Genomic DNA, 25,711 nt, shown 5'->3' with positions numbered 1-25,711 from the left:
GAATAGCTACAATGAAATTACTTAGCCAAAATTTGTGAATTCAGAATTCTCAAAAATGTTCAAATAGTATGCACATAAGACCTCATGTCTAGGCCGGGTGTGGTGGCTCACTCCTGTAATCCCAGTGCTTTGGAAGGACAAGGTGGGAGGGTCACTTGAGCTCAGGAGTTTGAGACTTTGAGGCTGTGGTGAGCTATGATCATACCACTGCACTCTAACCTGGGTGACAGAGCAAGAACCCATCTCCAAAAAAACAAAACAAAAAAAACCCTCATATATATAAATCTTACATTTCTTCTTTCAAAATGCGAAAATGGGGTTTCAGAGAAGGATTATGAAATTTTCTGATTGGCTTTTTTTTCTTGAGCTGGTGACTTTGTTAAGTAGAGTAATTGTATTGCAGACAAACTGGTGGATTTTGGTGCCTGGTTTGATAGGGGCATTAAACCCTTTTGAGGGCAGAACTGTTAGCTATGATGTTGCTAAGGTATTATTGTAGTGGTTGTCTAAGAAGTAATATATTAAGCACTAGATGACAGAAACTAGTAGTTTCTTGAGTATCCTGGAGGAAGGAGAAAATGCCTAAATGAATACTTTGAAGAAAACTAGCTGATAAATGATTTCCAAAGGATAATTAGACACAAACTAAACCTCTTCTTACTATGAATAACTAACACTGAAGTTTTACTGTGTGGCAGTTACTATATTAAATACTTTATATATAATGTCTCATTTAGTCATCATATTGTGGGATACAGACTATCTTAATTCTTAGTTTACTGATGAGAAAACTGAAACATAAGGATTAGGTTAGTTGTAGAGGCAGAGATGGAATTTTATTGCAGAGCTGGGTTGTATACTAAAGCAATGCGTTTCTTTACATCAATGATTCTTAGTGTTGATGTACATTAGAATCACCTGGGAAACTGAAAAAGGGCTATGCTGGGCTTCACTGCCAGAGATTTGGGTATGGCATAGCGCCTAAGCATTGAGGTTTTTAAAAAGCTCTCCAGAGATTCTGATGGCCAGAGTTGAGAACCATTAGTTTAAATATTAGGATACAGAACCAGAAATTAAGTCTTAAATGTCTTCACTTTTTCCTTAAATTGATGTTTTCTTCTGACATTCCTAAAAGATGGGATAGTTTGAGAATTGACAAGTGAGGGTCCTTGAGCTTCGTGTGCCATGCTGTAGCATTCATGGTTTAAAGAACCCACAACAGTTTTTATCTGAATTTTCCAACTTAAGGAAGAGGTGTTGGGAAATGATGGGCCTCATCTTTTATCTTGATCTCCTAATGTAATGTGTGCAGACAGAAGCTAGAGTTGGAGACTGGGACTGAGGATAAAGGGTTGTGTCTGATTTCCTGAATAGAGCTTGCCAGTCTTCCAGGAAGAATCCATGGAAGAGTTCATAACCATTTCTTAGAGATTCTTCCTGATTCTCCAAAGAGGTCAGACAAACCTCTCGTGCTCCAGACCATGCCACTTTAGGTTCCATATTATTGGGGTAGAAATCAGATCTCCCAGATTAAAGTGGGCTGGGCTTTCTCTATGAGAAACCCTGAGGAACCCTAATTATGATCACAAATGAAAGAGCAAAGTCAGACCAGTGCTATGCTAAATATCTTATTCTAGTGTCAGGTTTACAGTGAGGAAAGGTAGTTATCTTTCCAATGAACTATGTTCATTTGTTTCCAATATCAATTATTAAATTCAGAGCATGTCTTCCTGGTCAAGGGCTCTAGTAAAGGAAATGTATTTGCATTTCTATAACTTACATTTTATAGTAGGGAAAATAATCTACTGATTACTTTGATGTGCGCAAATTAAGGAAAACTGTTTATTTTTTAGTCTTGGGAAGAGAAAATATGAGCAAAACCATATTGTACTTCTGTGGACATTGGAACATCCTTAGTCTTTGTGTGTGCTTTGTCCTAAATTTTCTTGTACATAAACACATTAGCTAAAGAAGGTGATAATAGTTGAATAACTGAAGTTAAAAAACCAACTCATTTCCCTGTCCGGGAATAAAAAATACATTAACAAAGTAGGATTCCTTTTTTTTTTTTTTTTTTTTGCTGTGAAGTAGAACTCTTTTAATAGAGATAGTAGAAACAACATCTTGAACTAGTTTAAACAAGAAAAGAAAATGATGTGGGATCTGTTAGAAATATCAGAGACTTCCATAGAATCTCTGAGACAGGAGCAGTTTAGGAATGGACTGGAGTCTGGGGCTTGAGTCTGGTGGGAAACCCTTTCTCTGTTGCTTTTCTCTTCCTTTCTCTACACATCAGCTTCAGTTTTAGCTTTTCTAAAAACTACCTTCCTCTTTTCCTTGATCCTATAGTGGAATGTGGTTACCAGCAGCTCCTGTCCAGGCACATGGAAAGAAACTCATTGCTCTGTTCCAGCCTCCAAATTTCTAGCGAGGGGATCTGACTGGTCACACTTGGGTCATGTGTTTAATCCCTGGACTAATTCGCTGTGGCCAAAGGGATGGGGTGTGCTTGGGAGAGCATGGCACTCCCATTGAAATCATGTGGAACAATGGAAAGTGGTAATGTCCAGAAAAGAGAGATGTTAGGCAAACAGACATTTAAAAGGTGTTCTCAGCACCACAGCACGCAGAAGATTTGCTTGAAATAAAGTGCCTTTTTTAAGACTATTAATGACTATAAATCAGAATTTTATTTAATCTGTACTGGTGTTTTATCTTAGTTCCTTATATTTCTCATCAGTTACAACTAGCATTTCCACTTGCTGCTGGCTGTAATCCAGACATCAGATCTTGGTTAAAGAAATAAATTTAATATAAAACCTTATTTAATGAATCCACTAATTGTTATGTCCTGCTGTGAGTGTTGATGAATATGTAAGACAAAAATATACTTAATTTGTCTATTGTTTAAAAATCCAAGATACTCATTTGGCTGCTTTTAAAATAACTGTTTTTATATTTTGTCTTAGCTAAATAAAGAAAATAAAACGTTGAAAAGAATCAGCATGTTGTACATGGCCAAGCTGGGACCAGATGTAATAACTGAAGAGATAAACATTGATGATGAAGATTCGACTACAGACACAGACGGTGCCGCCGAGACTTGTGTCTCAGTACAGTGTCAGAAGCAAATTAAAGGTAGAACTCTTTGCTTAATTATTGAGCATATTTTTTACCCCGTTATGATAGTGCTTCTGAACCCTGACTGCACATCAGAATCATGTGGGAAGCTTTCAAAATACTGATGCCTAGGCAGGGCGTGGTGGCTCACGCCTGTAATCCTAGCACTTTGGGAGGCCAAGGCGGGTGGATCACCTGAGGTCAGGAGTTGGAGACCAACTTGGCCAACCTGGTGAAACCCGGTCTCTACTAAAAAATACAAAAATTAGCTGGGCGTGGTGGCAGGTGCCTGTAATCCCAGCTACTTGGGAGGCTGAGGCGGGAGAATCACTTGAACCCAGGAGGCAGAGGTTGCAGTGAGCCGAGATTGCGCCGTTGCACTCCAGCCTGAGCGACAGAGCGAGACTCTGTCTCAAAAAAAAAAAAAAAAAAAAAACAAAACACAAAACTGATGCCTGGGTCCTACCCTATCCAAAATTTTGCTACACCATAGGCCAATTAAATCAGAATTTTGGATGGGGTAGGACCTAGGCATCAGTATTTTGAAAGCTTCCCACATCATTTATTTATATCTCCAAATCACCATAGGGTATATAACAATTGTGCTTTATGAGTTACTTTCTTGTTTGGAATTAAGCACTTTTGAAAGTGTCTCAATGGAAGCAGCCAGTTATACTATAACCTTAAGGATATGTACTATATGTCAAGATATTTTTGTTAAATGAAAGAAACAATGAATAAAAATATATTTAGCGACACCCCTTTTTGTTGGTTAACAAGTAGTGTTGTAAGGCAAGATCATATGATACATCTACTGAATGCACATTCATTTTACTCATACACATGTTTATTTAAAGATGTAGGAAAGCAGTTCTGGCTCAGTAACTATTGGAACATTTTAATTTAGTACACAGGTCAAAAGCAATATTCATTTATTTGTTTGGTAGATAAAATTTCAACTGGAAGTATAAAGAAGAAAGGATGTTACAGACACCATCTTTACCTACTCTTCAACCCCTCAAGCTAACACAAAATAGAATTCATGTTGGTAGGGAGGGAGAGGAAGTTTAAAGGAGTTCCCTTTGCTCATTATTCTCCTTTCTGTTCGAGCTTGAACAATATGGTTTCATGTTCTTCTTTCTGGATTAGCCAGCAAATGGAGAAAGTGATTCAGAAATAAGTCTCTGAGAACTTCTCCAAGCTGAGTTTATGTAAAAAGTTTGATTTAATTTACAAATAACCACATAACATATTCTTTATTGCACTTGGAAAACAGTAAGAAATTAAAGGCAGTTAAAACCTAAGTGACAAAACAGTAGGCCAGAATATGAATTTGAGTAGTCTGTGCTAATCTATGTGTATTTTCAAACATTTGAGTGACAGAAGTAACTTTAACACCAGAAGCTTTTGCGCTTACAGTTGATAATACTCTCATTCTAGTGACACACTTTTCATTGAATCCTAATAATAAAACTATGAAATAAATTTAAAAACAAAACACCCATGACTCTAGAGAGAAAATTACTAGAATTAACCCTTCTTTCAAATAGTTATATTTTGAATCAGTTCAAATAATGTCTAAGGACTATAAATTGGCAGCAAGTCAGGATCTTTTACTTCTAATCAAAATATCCAAATTATTAACATCCCAATTGTTTATATTTTATTGTGATAACAGCCCATGGCATTATGAAATAAAAAAGAAATTAGTACTACACCTTAATTTGTTTTGCTGAAAACTTAAAAAATTTTACTTCCAAAATGCTAGATAGTTTTCTAGAATGTGGTTTTGATAGAATGCAAAGAAAACATGATCTGGTACATTTAATGTAGTGAGGTTGCCTGATATAAAATTGTTAATATCCATGGCTATTTTGGGGAGGGCCACGCAAATGAGATTCTCATTGTCCTTTGGTTCTTCATTTCTTTTTAATTGTTAAATAATCTTGACCATAAGCTGCACATGGACTGGCATTTTCAATTCTTTTGACCAGATTGATTTCTTATTTTAAAAATAAGTTTATTTATATATTTTTTTTCTTTAAAAATGCAGAACTTCGAGATCAAATTGTATCTGTTCAGGAGGAAAAGAAGATTTTAGCCATTGAGCTGGAAAATCTCAAGAGCAAACTCGTAGAAGTAATTGAAGAAGTATGTATCTCAGGCCTGAAAGGCAAGGGCTTTAGCATTTTCAAGGTGTTTGGGGATTTGCTAAGTTAAGAACTTAATATTATAAGCCAATTTCTAACATGAGAACCATGTACCAATTTTAATCTTCTCTCCTCAATTTCAGACATAAAAAAAGGTAGAGGAAATAAGATGATGAAGATTCATGTACCCACTAGCTAGCTTAATAAATAAAATTCTGAAATAGCATGGACATGTTTCCTGTTGTTCCCCCAGTTTTTGCTATGTAAGGCAAATTTGTAAGAATAGTAGCTACTATTTCAAGTCATATATTTTATTGCTGCTGGTAGAGAAAGAAGAGCATGTTTTGCTTTTCCGGTGAATGACTGGTTCAATTGGGAAGGACTGTCCCTCTGTGCATCTCCAACACAGGCATTTATGATAGGTGGTAGGATGGGTTCAAGTGGTTGTTTACAGAATCTTTCTTTTCTGGTGTTTTGTTTTGTTTGAGACAAGACCTAACTCTGTCACACTCAGGCTGGAGTGCAGTGGCATGATCACAGCTCACTGCCGCCTCAACCTCCCAGGCTCAAATGATCCTCCTGCCTCAGCCTCCCAAATAGCTGAGAGTACAGGCATGCGTCACCACGCCTGCCTGATTTTTAAAAATTTTTATAGAGATGTGGGTTCCTGTATTTCCCAGGCTTACCTTGAACTCCTGGACTTGAATGATCTTCCCACCTTGGCCTCCCAAAGTGCTGGGACCACCAATGCAAGCCGCTGCCCTGGCCTCTTTTTCCTTTTGAACTGTCTTTCAGAACAAGACCCTCACAATTGCCTTTTATTTGCACGAGGCTTCAAGGATTTGCCTTCACAGTCTTGATTCTGGATTTAATTTGTATCAGTGGTTCTTAGATTCTGTAGCCCAGCACTTCCCAACTGATGTGCCAACTGCAGCTTGATAAAGTGACTTATGAGCATGCCAACGTATTGATCCTGTCAGTGAGCAGCCTCATCCAGTTACCTCAGTTTGCACACACATATTGTCATTTTCTTGGAGGCCATGATGTAAAAAAGGTTGGAAAGCAGTGTCTGCCAACTTCCCAGCCTGAGCTCCTTTTATTATTGTGGCAAAACATTGTAACGAATGGGAAGAAGGAAGATGATATTTTGGAAAGGACCTTACCGTTGGACAATGTGTACCAGTTACTAATTTAAACCAAAACCAAAAATAAAGCCTACACTAAAAGAACCAGTTAATAGATTATCTGGAGGTGCTGATGGATTCAGAGCCACTTTCAGGACCATTATCTTTGTTTCTTAGTGTGCTCTGTTCCTCAGTTGTGATTATTTACTGATGATTCTCTCGCTTCCCACTTAGAGGTATTATTGGAAGACAATTCAACAATTATTTTTATTATGGCTATTTCAGACATCTGAGAAGGCATAATGAACAAAATAATGGGGCTGAGTTCAGTGGCTCACGCCTGTAATCCTAGCACTTTGGGAGGCCGAGGCAGGAGGATCACTTGAGCCCAGGAGTTGGAGATCAGCAAGACCTCCTAGCAAGACCTCGTCTCTCAAAAAAATTTTTAAAAATATTAGCCAGGCATGGTGGCATGTGCCTGTAGTCCCAGCTACTCAGAGGGCTGAGGTGGGAGGATTGCTTGAACCCAGGAGTTCCAGGCTGCAATGAGCTATGATCGTATTACCACCCTCCAGCCTGAGTGACAGACTGAGACCCTGTCTCTAAAAAAATTATTTTTAATGAACATCCATATACCTGCTACCCAACTTAATTCACAGAATATTAGCATGGTGATGAAAGCCCTGGTGTAACTCTTTCTGGTTGCATACTCCTTGCTCCCTGCCCAGTTTCCCTAAACAACTGTTATTCTGAACTTGGTGTTTATCATGTCAGTGCATATATTTACATGTTCACTACAATACATAGTATTTTGAGTGTTTTTAAATATTATAAACATGCCTGCTTTCTAAATTCAATATATTTGAGATTTATCTTCTACCTTGATATATGTAGCTTTACTTTATGTTCTTTTTTTTTAAAAAAACTTTTCTATAGTATTCTCTTTCGTTGATAGACATCAAAAGTTACTTCAGAAATTTAAATTTTTGTGGGAGTATTTATATGTGTTTTATTTAAGCCAAGAGTCATCAGAGTTCAAAGTCTTATTTTAAAAGTTCATGTTCATCTTACTTAAGTCAAAAATAATCAGCATTTTTATTTTATTGTATTTTATTTAAATTATTATACTTTAAGTTCTAGGGCACATGTGCACAATGTGCAGGTTTGTTACATATGTATACATGTGCCATGTTGGTGTGCTGCACCCATTAACTTGTCATTTACATTAGGTATATCTCCTAATGCTAATCAACATTTAAAATGAATACCAAAATTGAGTATCGGATCTTGACTAAATGATTCTTGTATTTTCTGGGTGATCTTTAGTTGGATTTTTGCATTAAAAATATGAATCATGGCTGGGTATGGTGGCTCACGCCTGTAATCCCAGCACTTCGGGAGGCTGAAGCAGGAGGATTGCTTGAGCCCAGGAGTTCGAGACCAGCCTCGGCAACATAGGAGACCCCATCTCTATATTCTTTGTTTTTTTTTAATTAAAAAAATATGTATCATATACATTGGATGGCTAGCATACTGTTATGTTTAGGTGCCAGTGCCAACTGGAATATATAAATAAGTTCTGTACCAGGTATACATCCTAACTTAAATAGCTATCCTTGAAGCTTTAAAGAAGAGCTTTAATAAAAAGTCCTAACACATTGAAACCAATTTCTGCTTTAAATTGTAACTTCATGTTGAAAGTTGAACAGCAATTGAGTATCACACATTGCCATATGTCCTGTTTTACAATTTTTGGTGTTTTCTCCCCTCAAAATTTCACATTTTTAGGTAAATAAAGTTAAACAAGAAAAGACTGTTTTAAATTCAGAAGTTCTTGAACAGAGAAAAGTCTTAGAAAAATGCAATAGAGGTAAGTCTGTCCAGTCTTTTTTTCTCAAATACGTATGCGGTGTGTTCTGTTTGCATATATTGTGTGTCATTTTACACCTGTGCCTAAATATGACTGTAAATAAAATCTTCTCCTATATTGTGATTTTCTAGCATTGTGTCTCTCCCATTTCCATTGTTTTATTACCCAACTTAGAGTCTGGGGACATCTAAAAGTGATTTCACTTGAGGAACAAGGAACCCACTCATTTTGAAACTTCAAACCGAAATACTATTTCTGTCTTACATATATCCAGGGATCATGGCCTTTTTAGCTCTCCCCTCAGCATTTATATGTTTGGTAGGTTATTTAGTAAATCTCAATCCAGAAGAGGTTAGGCTGTCTACATAAAACATGTAACATTATGTGATGAAATTTTAAATTAAGAGGATGTGGAAAAAGGGATAAAGGAAAGTAAGAGTTAGATTGGTATACAAAGTGCATACTTGTTCTGAGGTCTTGCACATTTCCTGCCTGTGTGTTTGAAATCTGGTTCTGAGCTGTCTGACAGTCAGTGCAATAAGAGATTGATGATCATTTAAATGAATCACATGAAAATGAACCTAATGATCAGGAAAAGCAGACCTGCTCTCCTGGTGAGAGGGAAGTGTCTCCAGTGGCTATATCCAGAGAAAACTTTGTGTACTTTGGGCAACAGTGACTTTATCCATCTAGTTATAAAACACAGCATCAGCTCTCATCGGGGCTGTTTCATGTATCTCCCAGTTTAAGACAAGGAAGTGATGCCAAAGTGTAGTTCTGCAAAAATAATTCTGGAAGTGGTAAGAAGAACTTAATATACTTTCTGTTCTCTCTTTTTCCCTCAGTCACTCTCTTTCCTTGTTTAGAAGCTGCAACACTAACAGGAAACCTTTGCGACCCAGGGCCTTCCCTATTGTTATTGGTGGTAGCTGTCAATCTTTTTGTGATTCATCAACTGGGAATTTTTTTTGTAAATAAAGGACCTTGTAGTTAAATGTGGGCAATATGCTGGATTGTAACATTTCTCCAAGTCTTTCTGTATTTAAAGATAGAAATGGTGTAGAATTTTCAGTCTTGATTCACTGTGCTAGGAAAAGGGTTCTGCAAGGATTAATCATGTAGATCTTGCCTTCAGAGAGTCCCCTGTCTAGGAAGAGAGAAAAATTATATAAATAAATACCTGACTAGGACCAACCTGATTTCTTTCAGATTCCAAGTCAGAAGGGCCAGGACACGTGAAAATTCCCTTTTTATTATAGTGTTCTGGACATAGAAAAGAGAGTCAATTATCTTGCCTGGGCTTCAGATCGTCATAGTGTTCTTTGTTTTCTTCATGAAATTTCTTGTTTAAATAGGCTTGAAAATCATTTAGCTCTCAGGGACCTATAATTCACACCAAAAAATCACCACTCTTATTGCTTTACTTATTAGTCTTTCATCTGAAGAGGCTGTAGATTGAGTACAGAGTTTGAAATTCTATGTCATTACGCAGCAAACCAGTCCTTAAGTCAGTTAGGATTGAAGTGCCCTGGTGGAGCAGTGTGTGAAGGCAGCTGTTAAGAGAGCCTTTTGAAAGATTTTGTTGGTATGACTCAGCTCAGGGTGGAGGTGACTCACCAGAAGTGGATGGACAGTGTGCTGTCTGCCCAGCTTGTGCCTAATATCTAATGGTATCGTCACTCCCTCTGTCCTGTCATTATCACTATTTAACAAAATAGGCCACTGAATGTTGAAAATAGCAAAGAATTTATATTACTTTTATTTGACAGGACCTTTTGAAGCTTTCGGTCTTGCAGTAACTCCTTGGTACAAAGCTCTGATTCTTTGGTTCTGAATGCATCTAAGGCTGTTTCTCTCCTTTGTAAATATGGAGAACACTTAAAAATAACTTATATGTCCAGGCGCGGTGGCTCACACCTGTAATCCCAGCACTTTGGGAGGCTGAGGTGGGCGGATTACTTGAGATCAGGAGTTTGAGACCAGCCTGGCCAACATGGTAAAACCTCGTCTCTACTGAAATACAAAAATTAGCCAGATATGGTGGCACGCACCTGCCTGTAATCCCAGCTACTCAGGAGGCTGAGGCAGGAGAATCACTTGAACCTAGGAGGCGGAGGTTGCAGTGAACCAAGATTGCACCACTGCCTTCCAGCCTGGGCGACAGACATAGTGAGACTCCATCTCTCAAAAAATAAATAAATAAATAAATAAAACATATATATATATTATATATATAAATCATTTTATATATTTATATATAAATCATTTTATATATTTATATATAAATCATTTTATATATTTATATATAAATCATTTTATATATTTATATATAAATCATTTTATATATTTATATATAAATCATTTTATATATTTATATATAAATCATTTTATATATTTATATATAAATCATTTTATATATTTATATATAAAATATTTACATTTTATACATATGTATATACATATACATAATTTATACATTTATTTACATTTAATATTATATATAATACATATATTTTTATACATAAAAATGTATATATTCAGGTAGTATACTTTTTTTGGTGGAAAATTTAGATTCATGTAAGGAAAGAAAAAAATCTCAACCTTTACAATCCAGAGATAAGCACTAGTACCATTTTAGTGTATATTCTTCCAATCTTAAAAAAAACTCTCTCTACATATATACATATTAAATGTTTTGTTAAATATGTTTATATATATATTTATATATATATGGAAGACAGAGGAAATACCAGTAAAAGGAATCTCTTTATACTTGCTGGTACCTTACAAACCCATGAACATCCCTCTCTACTCTTACCCCTCCCTTGAATTTTTATTATTTCCTTTCTTTTATTTGTAGTTTTGCCAAATATGTCTATATCTCTAAACAGCATTGTTTAATTTTGCATATTTTTGAACTCTATGTAAATGGAATCATTTTTCCTGTAACCTTCTGCAACTTTTTGTGTTTGTGAGATTCATGCATGTGGACAGGCATAGCTGTGGTATGTTTGTTTTCACTGCTATATACTATTCCATTAGATGACTACACTAAAATTATTTTAAGTAGTATCCTATTGGTAGACTTTGGGCTGTTTCCATATTTCTGCTATTCTGAGTCATGCTGTTATAAAAAATGTTAGACATGTCATCTGGTGCACATGTCCAAGAGTTGCTTTAAGACACATGCCAAATGTCAAATTTTATCTTCAGTTTTTTTTCACTGCATACCAAATTTAATAAAACCATGCTTTAAAATTTTTACCAGTTGCCTCTTGGATGGGTGTAAGAAGTGTTTTTACTCTGCATTTCCTTGATTCCTAATGAAGATGAGCATCTTTCCACATGTTTATTGGCCTTTTGTATATTTTCTATTCTGTGAAATGGCTGTTGATGTGCTTTATCTGTGGCTTTTAAAGAACAAAAATGAATTCACTTTGCACTAATTTTTGCAATCTATTTTTAAAAATACATCACAGATGTCTTTCCATTTACTAAGTATGCTTCTACAATATAATTTTGATGGCAGAATAATATTTCTTGTACTACAATTTACTCATTCTTCTGTGTTAGAGTATTATGTCATTTCACTTTTATCAGCAATGAGGTAGAGAGCATCCTTGCAACCAAATGTCTGTATATGCTCATGTGTTACAATCTTAGCATATGCATTCCTGGAAGTGGGATTATTCAAAGTGTATGAATAGTTTTAGATTTTTGATTCACGTTGCCAAGTTGCTCTCCAAAAAGGTTTTATCAGTTTGTATGCCAACCAGGAATGCATGAGGGTACCTGTATGCTGGTATGAAAAATCTTTTCAACACTGTTTTTCATCCATATTCCTGATTATTTGTGTGACTTATTGTCTGGGTTTTTTTTTTCCTTTATCTTCTTAAGTGTCCATGTTAGCTGTAGAAGAGTATGAGGAGATGCAAGTAAACCTGGAGCTGGAGAAGGACCTTCGAAAGAAAGCAGAGTCATTTGCACAAGAGGTGGGTATCTTGTAAAAATCTTATTTTTTTTCTTGAGACAGAGTCTCGCTCTGTCACCAGGCTGGAGTGCAGTGGCGCAATCTCGGCTCACTGCAACCTCCGACTCCCTGATTCAAGCGATTCTCATGCCTCAGCCCCCCGAGTAGCTGGGATTACAGGCACACGCCACCGTGCCCAGCTAATTTTTGTATTTTTATTAGAGATGGGGTTTCACCATGTTGACCAGGATGGTCTTGATCTCCTTATCTCGTGATCTGCTCGCCTTGGCCTCCCAAAGTGCTCCCAAAGTGAGCCACCGTGCCCAGCCGTAAAAACCTTTTGAATTTTTGTTTTGTAAGGGACCTTGCAGACGACATATCAGACAAATTCTTGAGGTTGAATAAGAACTTACCAGTTTGAATTAAGGATCTGCTGGTTTAGGGAGGCAGATATAGAATAGTATCAAGTTCATTGTCAAAAGATCTGGGCTCAAATTTTGGCCATGTCAGTTACTAGTTGTAGTAGTGTATGACCTCTGAGCAATTCTTCAGCCTCTCAGGGCTTCACTTTTACCATCTGTAAAATGGACAATAATACAGACCTGACCAAGTGGATTTTAATGGCAAAATTTAAAAAAAGTGTTGTATAAACTATAAAATGCTATGTAAGGGAAAGGAATTGCATTTGGAGACAACCCATGACTTGTGATGGAAAGTCCAACTTGGGTACAAGATGCCTGTACATTTCAAATAGGCTTAAAATCTGGGATGTATCTCCATATACCATCTCAGATAACAGTATTATGGTATCAGTATTTCTCTTCAGCCATTGTGCAGTGCTGTCATTATGCCAGGAAGTTCTTCCACTGGCTGTGGAACACTGCCATGTAGTACATTCATTATCTCAGCGTTTCACCAGCCTACTGATCTTCCTCTTATGTTAGAGATCAGCTTTGAATCTCTTGTTCCGGCTTACCTGTTGACATGCAGTCGTTGGGTCTTCCATGGCCCTGGGGCTCATCCAGGGGGATGAGGAGTTCACCAATGGGCTAAACTCAAAAGCTGGTCTGCAATGAGATCTCCATCCTGTGGGTGTAGTTTGAATTTGTGTGCATACTGTAGGTTGAAGGAAGATAGCTCAGGAAATGTAAAACAGTCCTAGGTAGAGGTATCCAAGGCATAGAAGGAAGACAAAGCATGGCATTAGGGGAATGACATTTGAAAATCCAATGATGGTTTTGTGGGGGTCTTTCTGTGCTTGAGCATAGCTGTGCTAGCAGTGAACTCTACCGAAGGTTTAGGCCAAGTAGATCTGATTTGAAATATTATGATTCGTTTTATTTAGAGAGTTTAATGAAAGGTGAGTAAATATTTTTCTCTTATTACTTGGAAGAAAGAAAAAAGAATTGAAGTGTGTCAGAGCTCTCTGGAAAACGTTGGAGCAATATAAATAATGCAGTGAAATAAACAGTGGAGGGGGAGGGGAAGCAGGGATAATGTGAAGATGCCTTTATTGCAAAACTGGAAAGGTCGGCTGATTTTGACCTGAATAGCAGGTCTCATTTCAAGACATGTTCAGTTTTCCATCTGTTGTTTGCACAATGATGTTAGAATACAAAGCAGCTCAAAGAAAAACTTGAAGGCCATGTGGTAGCAGAGAAGACAGATGGAAGAAGCAAGGTTGCAGTAAGAAGACAAAAATGAATGATTGACTCTGCTGTTCACCTGGTCTTCAGTCTTAGTGGTTGGTGGAAACAATAATGCTGACATGTTAACCCAGAATGAGAAGGTAGAAGTTTGAGGAGAGAAAGAAAGCAAGAGCAATGGTACTTACGTTATTGGCAGCATAAATATTTGCAGTGGCACTCAACAATTTTACAATATCTAGATTCAATCTACACAATAGTGAGAAGAAAACTTTTTTTTAAAAAATAGCACCACGTTGGAACTAGTATATTTTCCTTTTTACAAAGTTTATGCATTCTCAGGTTTTCAACAGGTAAGTACTGCACAAAGACACATAACTTAGTTTAACAACAGAGTCCCATTCTTTTGCATTTTACTTACCACTTAGGGCATGCAGCAAACATCTTACTGTGCCAGACACTGTGCTGACATTGGGAATCCAGTGGTGAAGAAAGCAAATGTGAGCCCTACCCTCTTGGAGCTTATAGTCTAGAGCCTTAGAAATCAATTTTTAAGGTTAATTTACTTTATATTTTTAATTAAAAAGGAGTATGTGTGCCTTGCACAAAGATACAAATATTTTCTAAATGTATAAAATAAAAATTGAAAGTTACCCCCCATTCTTAACTCCCGCTAGTTCATTTAAAAAACAAAACCAAAAACTTAATCCCCCTCAACAAGAAAACTATCAGTTGTCTTCATAACTATATTAAAATTTTAAATTTCTTCAACATAATTAAATTTTTTGACCAGGCATGGTGGCTCACGTCTGTAATCCAAGCACTTTGGGAGGCCGAGGCGGGGGGATCAATTGAGGCCAGGAGTTCAAGACCAACCTGGCCAACATAGTGAAACCCCATCTCTACTAAAAATACACAGATTAGCCAGGCATGGTGGCAGGCACCTGTAGTCCCAGCTACTTGGGAGGCTGAGGCACGAGAATCACTTGAACCTGAGAGGCAGAGGTTGCAGTGAGCCGAGATTGTGCCACTGCACTCCAGCCTGGGTGCCAGAGCGAGACTCCATCTCAAAAAAAAAAAAAAATTACTGTAATCATAATGGTCACCCAAAACAATTCATTTTAATTAAATCACTGGTCTGAAGTTTAAGATACTGTGATGAAATATTGATTACTCTTTCTTAGAATGCTGAAGCTGCATCTCACCCTTCTCCAGCCAAGTGTACATGCACATACTCTTCCTCACTGCAGTCTCTATACCTCTCACTCTCACACAAATGGAAGAAGAATGTGGGTTTCATGTATATGCAATTGTTTATTTACCTGTTTGACTTTGTAATGTGTTTTAATTCTGCAGAAGAACCCTGTCGTAGTTTTGTAGGCTTTTCATAAATCCCTAGGCAAAGAAGGAAAGCTTCTGACCTTTTTTTCCCTTTCATAGGAAGACATACTGGGAAGAAAATGTTAGTGTTTTAGTATACTGTATTCATGACTTGACTTTGATGTGGAAGTCGATACTGATCAAGAGCTTAAGGATTGTATAAATCATTAAAGCTGTGGTCTTGCCACATGGAGGTTGATGGAAAATATTTTTGTCCTGAGTTTTATTTGCTGACTTTTTCTGTTACATGATGGGTGAAGTTGTTGAACAAACTAATATGAGGGCTTTAGCAAATCATTTTGCAGTTCAGAGCTTTCAGTTAAGTTATAATGTAAATTTTAAAATGCTGTTAAAAATCTGAAAAGGTGAAGCTCTATTATAAAATTGGTAGGCCAGATTTCAGAGTTTACAAAAACATTTCATACTTGGAATCACTCACTGGCCAAATTGGGTAGAGTGTTAAGGAAAAGAAATAACAGGTAAATAGAAATCAATATTATTTTCAATCATGTAAAGTTGTGAGGATTTGATGAATAACATATAAATTGCTTAATACAGTGCTCAATAAAATATACTGTCTCCCTTCTCCCCTTTACCCTTCTACTGTTAACTACTTTTATCACTAGGGAGAAACTAATTAGTTTAAAACAAAACATTAGATCTAGCAAATAGTAGAGGAACTTAGCCAGATGGTTAAGAGCTTGGGCATGTAAATCAGATATGGGTTTAAGTCCTGGTCTTGTCACTTACGTGTGTTCTTGGGAAAGTTGCTTAACTTCTTTGAGCCTCAGTTACCTTATTAGTAAAATTAGATGATAGTAGTGTCTACTTGATAGTGTTGTTTTAAGGATTATATGATATAATGAATGTAAAATGATTCCCACCATATCTATCACATAGTGTTTAGTAAATGTTACCTATTCATAGTAGAAGCACTTTAATAGGATTGATGTAAGGATTAAAATAATCCATATAAAATATTTAGTGGAGTACACAAGGTAAATTCTTGAGAAATATTAGCTACTACTATTAATATTAATGTATCTTAAAGCAATAATAAAATATTAAAAACTGAAGAGTAAGACCAGCTTATTGTATAAATATCTTGTTGGGGCAGGAGTAAAGGTATTAAAGATTATATAAAAGGAATGAAATCATAGCAATCACTACTTCTAAAACTTATAGAAGTCAGAATTTGCCTTTAATGATTTAATAAAAATTCCATGTACTTTTCTTTTGCTGAAGTTACAGTTGAGGAGGTATGTGAGATTGATTGATATATACATTCTTGTAACAAACTTTTGCAGATGTTCATTGAGCAAAACAAGCTAAAGAGACAAAGCCACCTTCTGCTGCAGAGCTCCATCCCTGATCAGCAGCTTTTGAAAGCTTTAGACGAAAATGCAAAACTCACCCAGCAACTTGAAGAAGAGAGAATTCAGCATCAACAAAAGGTAACCCATTTTCTTCTGGAATCTTAGGTACACACACACATACATGCATACACACATATATTTAAGATGAAGGGAGCCAGTGCAGTCAGTCCAGTCATTTACTGTTTCATATTTTGCCTTAGTTACTAAGTGCTTTCAACCACCTTTTAGAAAAAAATAACTAAATGAACTTAATGTTGTGAAACTGAAATTTGTAATACGCTATTATAGACTTTATAATAATCTTTAAACTGTCCAAAGGGTCGGAAGAAGCAAGGGAAAGAGGTATAACTTAAAAACAGCTTGGATAAGGCAAAGTCTGGAAATTCAATTTTTGGAAATGTTATATTTTTTGGAGACTGCACACACTAAGAGGCTGTATTCAACTCAGAGCACTTGTTGGAGGGCATAGGTTTTATTCAAAGAAAATGACAGTCCGTATTAGTAGTAATTGTTTGCTTAGAGAAAATTTTTGATTTTGTAAACTTGCACAAATGTGTATGTTTAAAGACTTCCTAAGTGATTATTTCAATTTGATGAGTGGAGCTATTCCAGCTGACACAGCCTACCTCTGTGTGCCAAGAAGAAAGGATAGTCATTGTGGTAGGTGAGAGGAGAAGCAAAGAAGTGGAACAAAGACTTCCAAATTAAAGAGACCACTTAAGAAAAATTACATCAATGTTTATACTACTTATAATGTACCTCATTTGGGAAGGAAAGGCTGTTAGCTGCTACTTGTTACCACCTGTCAAAGCCTCTGTGGCAACAGTATTGACATTTAATCCTTGGAAGTTCTGAAGTTTTTACAAACTTGGTGGTGAGGTTGAGTTGATTTGTTTTGCCTCAATAAGAAATGTTGATATATGGTGGCTGGTAAGATGGCCGAATACGAACAGCTCCGGTCTGCAGCTCCGAGCGGGATCAACGCAGAAGGCGGGTGATTTCTGCATTGGGTACCCGGCTCATCTCACTGGAACTGGTTGGACAGTGAGTGCAGCCCATGAAGGGTGAGCTGAAGCAAGGTGGGGTGTTGCCTCACCCGGGAAGTGCAGGGGATTGGAGAACTCCCTCTCCTAGCCAAGGGAAGCCACGAGAGACTGTGCTGTGAGGAATGGTGCTCTCCAGCCCAGATACTACGCTTTTCCCACCATCTTTGCAACCCACAGACCAGGAGATTGCCTTGGGTGCCTACACCACCAGGGCCCTGGGATTCAAGCACAAAACTGGGTGGCCATTTGGGCAGACACCAAACTAGCTGCAGGAGTGTTTCTTCATACTCCAGTGGCACCTGGAACTCCAACAACACAGAACCATTCACTCCCCTGGAAAGGGGGCAGAAGCCAGGGAGCCAAGTGGTCTAGCCCAGCAGATCCCACCCCCACGGAGCCCAGCAAGCCAAGATCCACTGGCTTGAAATTGTCGCTGCCAGCACAGCAGTCTGAGGTCAACCTGGGACACTCGAGCTTGGTGGGGGGCAGGGTGTCTGCTATTACTGAGGCTTGAGTAGGCAGTTTTCCCCTCACAGTGTAAACAAAGCCACCAGGAAGTTCGGACTGGGCCGAGCCCACTGCAGCTCCGCCAAGCTGCTGTAGCTAGACTGCCTCTCTAGATTCCTCCTCTCTGGGCAAAGCATCTCTGAAAGAGAGGCAGCAGCCCCAGTCAGGGGCTTGTAGATAAAACTCCCATCTCCCTGGGACAGAGAACCTAGGGAAAGAGGCGGCTGTGGGCACAGCTTCAGCGGCTTAAACGTTCCTGCCTGCCGACTCTGAAGAGAGCAGCAGATTTCCCAGCGCAGCGCTTGAGCTCTGCTAAGGGACAGACTGCCTCCTCAGGTGGATCCCTGACTCCCATGCCTCCTGACTGGGAGACACCTCCCAGCAGGGGTCTACAGACACCTCATACAGGAGAGCTCCAGCTGGCATCTGGCAGGTGCCCTTCTGGGATGAAGCTTCCAGAGGAAGGAACAGGCAGAAATCTTTGCTGTTTTGCAGCCTCCACTGATGATGCCCAGGCAAACAGGGTCAGCAGTGGACCTCCAGCAAACTCCAGCAGACCTGCAGTAGCGGGGCCTGACTGCTAGAAGGAAAACTAACAAACAGAAAGGAATACATCAACATCAACAAAAGGACATCCATGCAAAAACCCCATCCAAAGGTTACCAACATCAAAGACCAAAGGTAGATAAATCCACAAAGATGAGGAAAAACTAGTGCAAAAAGGCTGAAAATTCCAAAAACCAGAATGCCTCTTGTCCTCCAAAAGATCACAACTCCTCGCCAGCAAGGGAGCAAAACTGGACAAAGAATGAGTTTGACAAATTGACAGAAGTAGGCTTCAGAAGGTTGGTAATAACAAACTCCTCCGAGTTAAAGGAGCATGTTCTAACCCAACGCAAGGAAGCCAAGAACCTTGATAAAAGGTTAGAGGAATTGCTAACTAGAAAAACCAGTTTAGAGAAGAACATAAATGACCTGATGGAGCTGAAAAACACAGCAGGAGAACTTGGTAAAGCGTACATAAGTATCAATAGCCGAATCGATCAAGCAGAAGACAAGATATCAGAGATTGAAGATAAACTTAATGAAATAAAGCATGAAGACAAGATTACTGAAAAAAGACTGAAAAGGAATGAACAAAGCCTCCAAGAAATATGGGACTATGTGAAAAGACCAAACCTACGTTTGATTGGTGTACTGGAAAGTGATAGGGAGAATGGAACCAAGTTGGAAAACACTTTTCAGGATATTATCCAGGAGAACTTCCCCAACCCAGCAAGACAGGCCAACATTCAAATTCAGAAAACACAGAAAACACCACAAAGATACTCCTCGAGAAGAGCAACCCCAAGACACATAATCATCAGATTGACCAAGGTTGAAATGAAGGAAAAAATGTTAAGGGCGGCCAGAGAGAAAGGTTGGGTTACCCACAAAGGGAAGCCCAGCAGACTAACGGTGGATCACTCTGCAGAAACCCTACAAACCAGAAGAGAGTGGGGGCCAATATTCAACATTCTTAAAGACAAGAATTTTCAACCTAGAATTTCATATCCAGCCAAACTAAGCTTCATAAGCGAAGGAGAAATAAAATCCTTTACAGACAGACAAATGCCGAGAGATTTTGTCACCGCCAGCCCTGCCTTTTAAGAGTTCCTGAAGGAAGCACTAAACATGGAAAGGAAAGACTGGTACCAGCTACTGCAAAAACATACCAAATTGTAAAGACTAATGACACTATGAAGAGACTGCATAACCTAATAGCAAAATAGCCAGCTAGCATCATAATGACAGGATCAAATTCACACATAACAATATTAACCTTAAATGTAAATGGGATAAATGCCCCCAATTAAAAGACACAGACTGGCAAATTGGATAAAGAGTCAAGACCCATCGGTGTGCTGTATTCAGGAGACCCATCTCACGTGTAAAGACACATAGGCTTAAAATAAAGGGATGGAGGCATATTTACTAAGTAACTGGAAAGCAAAAAAAAAGCAGGGGTTGCAATCCTACTCTCTGATAAAACAGACTTAAAACCAACAAAGATGAAAAGAGATAAAGAAGGGCATTACATAACGGTAAAGGTATTAATGCAACAAGAAGAGCTAACTATCCTAAATATATATGCACCCAATACAGGAGCACTCAGATTCATAAAACAAGTTCTTAGAGACATATAAAGAGATAAAGACTCCCACACAATAATAGTGGGAGACTTTAACACCCCACTGTCAATATTAGATCAACGAGACAGAAAATGAACAAGGATATTCAGGACTTGAACTCAGCCCTGGACCAAGCAGACCTAATAGACATCTACAGACCTCTCCATCCCAAATCAACAGAATATATATTCTTCTCAGGACCACATCGTACTTATTCTAAAATTGACCACATAATTGGATGTAAAACACTCCTTGGCAAATGCAGAAGAATGGAAATCATAAACAGTCTCTCAGACCACAGTGCAATCAAATTAGAAATCAGGATTAAGAAACTCACTCAAAACTGCATAACTATCTGGAAACTGAACAACCTGCTTCTTAATGACTACTGAGTAAATAACGAAATTAAGGCAGAAATAAATAAGTTCTTTGAAACCAATGAGAACAGAGATACAACATACCAGAATCTTTGGGACACAGCTAAAGCAGTGTTTAGAGGGAAATTTATAGCACTAAATGCCCACAGGAGAAAGCAGGAAAGATCTAAAATCGACACCCTAACATCACAATTAAAAGAATTAGAGAAGCAAGAGCAAACAAATTCAAAAGCTAGCAGAAGGCAAGAAATAACTAAGATCAGAGCAGAACTGAAGGAGATAGAGACACAAAAAAAATCCTTCAAAAAAATCAGTAAATCCAGGAGCTGGTTTTTTGAAAAGATTAACAAAATAGGTAGACTGCTAGCCCAACTAATAAAGAAGAAAAGAGAGAAGAATCAAATAGACACAGTAAAAATGTAAAGGGGGAGATCACCACCGATCCCACAGAAATACAAACTACCATCAGAGAATACTATAAATACCTGTACACAAATAAACTAGAAAATCTAGAAGAAATGGATAAATTGCTGGACACATACACCCTCCCAAGACTAAATCAGGAAGAAGTGGAATCCCTGAATAGACCAATAACAAGTTCCAAAATTGAGGCAGTAATTAATAGCCTGCTAACCAAAAAAAAGCCCAGGATCAGATGGATTCACAGCTGATTTCTACCAGAGGTACCAAGAGGAGCTGGTACCATTCCTTCTGAAACTATTCCAAGCAATAGAAAAAGAGGGACTCCTCCCTAACTCATTTTATGAGGCCAGCATCATCCTGATACCAAAACCTGGCAGAAACACAACAAAAAAAGAAAATTTCAGGCTAATACCCCTGATGAACATCAATGTGAAAATCCCCAATAAAATACTGGCAAACTGAATCCAGCAGCACATCCAAAAGCTTATCTACCACAATCAAGTCAGCTTCATCCCTGGGATGCAAGGCTGGTTCAACATACACAAATCAATAAATGTAATCCATCACATAAACAGAACCAATGACAAAAACCACATGATTATCTCAATAGATGCAGAAAAGGCCTTCGATAAAATTCAACACCCCTTCATGCTAAAAAGTCTTAGTAAACTAGATATTGATGGAACTTATCTCAAAATAATAAGAGCTATTTATGACAAACCCACTGCCAATGTCATACTGAATGAGCAAAAGCTGGAAGCATTTCCTTTGAAAACTGGCACATGACAAGGATGCCCTCTCTCACCACGCCTATTCAACACAGTATTGGAAGTTCTTGCCAGGGCAATCAGGCAAGGGAAAGAAATAAAGGGTATTCACACAGGAAGAGAGGAAGTCAAATTGTCTCTGTTTGCAGATGACATGATTGTATATTTAGAAAACCCCATCGTTTCAGCCCAAAATCTCCTTAAGCTGATAAGCAACTTCAGCAAAGTCTCAGGATACAAAATCAGTGTGCAAAAATTACAAGCTTCCTATACATCCATAATAGACAAATAGCCAAATCATGAGTGAACTCTGATTCACCATTGCTACAAAGAGAATAAAATACCTAGGAATACAACTTACAAGGGATGTGAAGGACCTCTTCACGGAGAACTACAAACCACTGCTCAAGGAAATAAGAGAGGACACTAACAAATGGAAAAACATTCCATACTCATGGATAGGAAGAATCAATATCGTGAAAATGGCTGTACTGCCCAGAGTAATTTATGGATTCAATGCTATCCCTATCAAGCTACCATTGACTTTCTTCACAGAATTAGAAAAACCTACTTTAAATTTCATATGGAACTGAAAAAAAAGCCCATATTGCCAAGACAATCCAAAGCAAAGAGAACAAAGCTGGAGTCATCACACTGCCTGGCTTCAAACTATGCTACGAGGCTACAGTAACCAAAGCAGCATGGTACTGGTACCAAAACAGATACGTAGACCAAAGGAACATAGCAGAGGCCCCAGAAATAATGCCACACATCTACAACCATCTGATCTTTGACAAACCTGACAAAAACAAGCAATGGAGAAAGGATTCCCTATTTAATAAATGGTGTTGGGAAAACGGGCTAGCCATATGCAGAAAACTGAAACTGGACCTCTTCCTTACGTAAATCTTATACAAAAATTAACTCAAGGTGGATTGAAGACTTTAATGTAAGACCTAAAACCATAAAAACCCTAGGAGAAAATCTAGGCAATACCATTCAGGACATAGGCATGGGCAAAGACTTCATGACTAAAACACCAAAAGCAATGGCAACAAAAGCCAAAATTGACAAATGGGATCTAATTAAACTAAAGAACTTATGCACAGCAAAAGAAACTATCATCAGAGTGAACAGGCAATCTACAGAATGGGAGAAAATTTTTGCACTCTATCCTTCTGGCAAAGGGCTAATATCCAGAATTTACAAGGAACTTAAACAAATTCACAAGAAAAAAAAATCTCATCAAAAAGTGGGCAAAGTATATGAACAGACACTTCTCAAAAGAAGACATTTATGTGGCCAACAAACATATGAAAAAAAGCTCATCATCACTGGTCATTAGAGAAATGCAAATCAAAACCACAATGAGATACCATCTCATGCCAGTTAGAATGGCGATCATTAAAAAGTCAGGAAACAACAGATGCTGGAGAAGATGTGGAGAAATAGGAATGCTTTTACACTGTTGGTGGGTGTATAAATTAGTTCAACCATTGTGGAAGACAGTGTGGTGATTCCTCAAGGGTCTAGAACCAGAAATACCATTTGACCTAGCAATCCCATTACTGGGTATATACCCAAAGGATTATAAATTGTTCTACTATAAAGACACACACACACATATGTTTATTGCAGCACTATTCATAATAGAAAAGACTTGGAACCAACCCAAATGCCCATCAATGATAGACTGGATAAAGAAAATGTGGCACATATACACCATGGAATACTACACAGCCATAAAAAAGGATGCGTTCGTGTCCTTTGCAGGGACACGGATGAAGCTGGAAACCATCATTTTCAGCAAACTAACACAGGAACAGAAAACCAAACACTGCATGTACTCACTTATAAGTGGGAGTTGAACAATGAGAACACATGGACACAGGGAGGGGAACATCACACACCAGGGCCTGTCGGGGGGTGGGGGCAAGGGGAGGGATAGCATTAGGAGAAACACCTAATGTAGATGACAGGTTGATGGGTGCAGCAAACCACTATGGCACATGTATACCTATGTAACAAACCTGCACATTCTACACATGTATCCCAGAACTTACAGTATAATAAATAAATAAATAATAAAAATAATTTTAAAAGGAAATGTTGATATATATGTAGAGTACCTCTGGATGGACAGGTGGTAACAGTCCCCTGGGAAAGAGAACTGGAGAATAGGGTGGGAGGGAAAGAATTTCATTCTTTCTTTTGTCCCCATATGTAGGAATTACCTTTTCAAGAAAAGAGAAAAAGAAGAATGTGTTTTTGTTTCAGTTTATGCTAGAATTTAACTTTTGGTTCTGAAAAGTCCAGCTACTTACAGTTAAATCATTTAGTAAATAATACGTGCCTAGAACCTACTGAATTGAGCTGAGGTATAGGACTAAATTGTTGTATATATACCTTGTTGGGTACTAAAGATTAAAGTTATCAATGAAATTATAACAATCACTACTTCTAAAACTGTTATACTCTTTGTATATACAGTTATTCTTACAGTCTTTCATGTACAGATGATCCTTGACTTATGATAGGGTTATGTCCTGATAAACCCACGTTAGTTGAAAATATTGTAAATCAAAAATAATATACCTAACCTACTGAATATTATAGTTCAGCCTAGCCTACCTTAAACATACTCGGAACACTTAACATTAGCCTACAATTGGGCAGAGTCAACTGGAAATACAGTATACTCTAGAGCATCAATCCCCAATCTTTTTGGCACTAGGGACCAGTTTCGTGGAAGACAATTTTTCCATGGACTGGGGAGGGAAGAGGGTGGGGGATGGTTTTGGGATGAAACTGTACCACCTCAGATCATCAGGCATTAGATTATCATAAAGAGCGGCCAACCTGGATCCCTCGCGTGTGCAGTTCACAATAGGGTTCGCGGTTCTGTGACAGTCTGTTGCCGCTGCTGATCTGACGAGGTGGAGCTCAGGCGGTAATGCTTGCTCGTGCCTGCTGCTAACCTTCTGTGCAGCCTGGTTCCTAACAGGCCATGGACCAGTACCAGTCCAAGACCTGGGGGTTGGGGAACCCTGCTCTAGAGTATCAGTTATTTACTCGCATGATCATGTGACTGATTGGGAGCTGTGGCTGGCTGCCGCTGCAGAGGATTGTTGAGAGAGTATCTTATTACATATTGCGAGCCTGGGAAAAGATCAAAATCCAGAATTTGAAGTATGGTTTGTATTGAATGCATGTCGCTTTCACACCATTGTAAAGTCGAAAAACTATCTCAAACCATCCTAAATTGGGGACCATCTGTATGTCGCTTAAAATGTTTCTTAGCTGTCTGTAAGTTCCCTTGCAGATGCAGCAGTCTTTTAAGCACAGCATATGGTTTTTGCAATTATAAAAATAGCATATGCTCCTTATAATACATTTTTAAAATACAGCAAAAGTTAAAGAAGATTAACCAAGTATCCCATATTTTGGTGCATAGCTGAACTTTCTGTAAATATATACCTTTATAAATATAGTTTGTTTAAATTGAATCATACTATGCATACTATTTTATGCCTTGATTTTTTTTCCATTGGTAATATATCTTCTCATGTCAGTATATAGTAAGCTATGTGATTTAAAAGTTGCATAGTATTTCATTGAATAAACATGCTATAATTTATTAAACTAAAAATATTGGTGGACATTTAGGTTATTTGCAACTTTTTGCTGTTGTAAAGAATACTTCAGGCCAGGTGTGGTGGCTCACGCCTGTAATCTCAGCACCTTGGGAGGCCAAAGCAGGTGGATCACTTAAGGCCAGGAGTTC

At 38.0% G+C, this 25,711-nt stretch overlaps 1 protein-coding gene across 5 annotated transcripts in view; it reads left to right on the top strand.

Annotated features, from left to right (window-relative positions):
* SHTN1 (shootin 1) overlaps nt 1–25,711 on the top strand; it is a 245,110-nt gene that overhangs the window by 169,407 nt on the left and 49,992 nt on the right. For all 5 annotated transcript variants that reach the window (NM_001258298.2, NM_018330.7, NM_001127211.3 and 2 more), the window contains 5 exons: nt 2,970–3,138; nt 5,174–5,271; nt 8,183–8,264; nt 12,162–12,256; nt 16,568–16,714. In NM_001258298.2, the coding sequence (NP_001245227.1) occupies nt 2,970–3,138; nt 5,174–5,271; nt 8,183–8,264; nt 12,162–12,256; nt 16,568–16,714 (591 nt within the window). The remainder of the gene's footprint in view (nt 1–2,969; nt 3,139–5,173; nt 5,272–8,182; nt 8,265–12,161; nt 12,257–16,567; nt 16,715–25,711) is intronic.

This window comes from Homo sapiens, chromosome 10 (assembly GCF_000001405.40).
Source record: "Homo sapiens chromosome 10, GRCh38.p14 Primary Assembly".
Lineage (NCBI taxonomy): Eukaryota > Metazoa > Chordata > Mammalia > Primates > Hominidae > Homo > Homo sapiens.
Note: the sequence above shows the minus strand (reverse complement) of the source record. Positions and strands in the feature narration are given on the sequence as shown.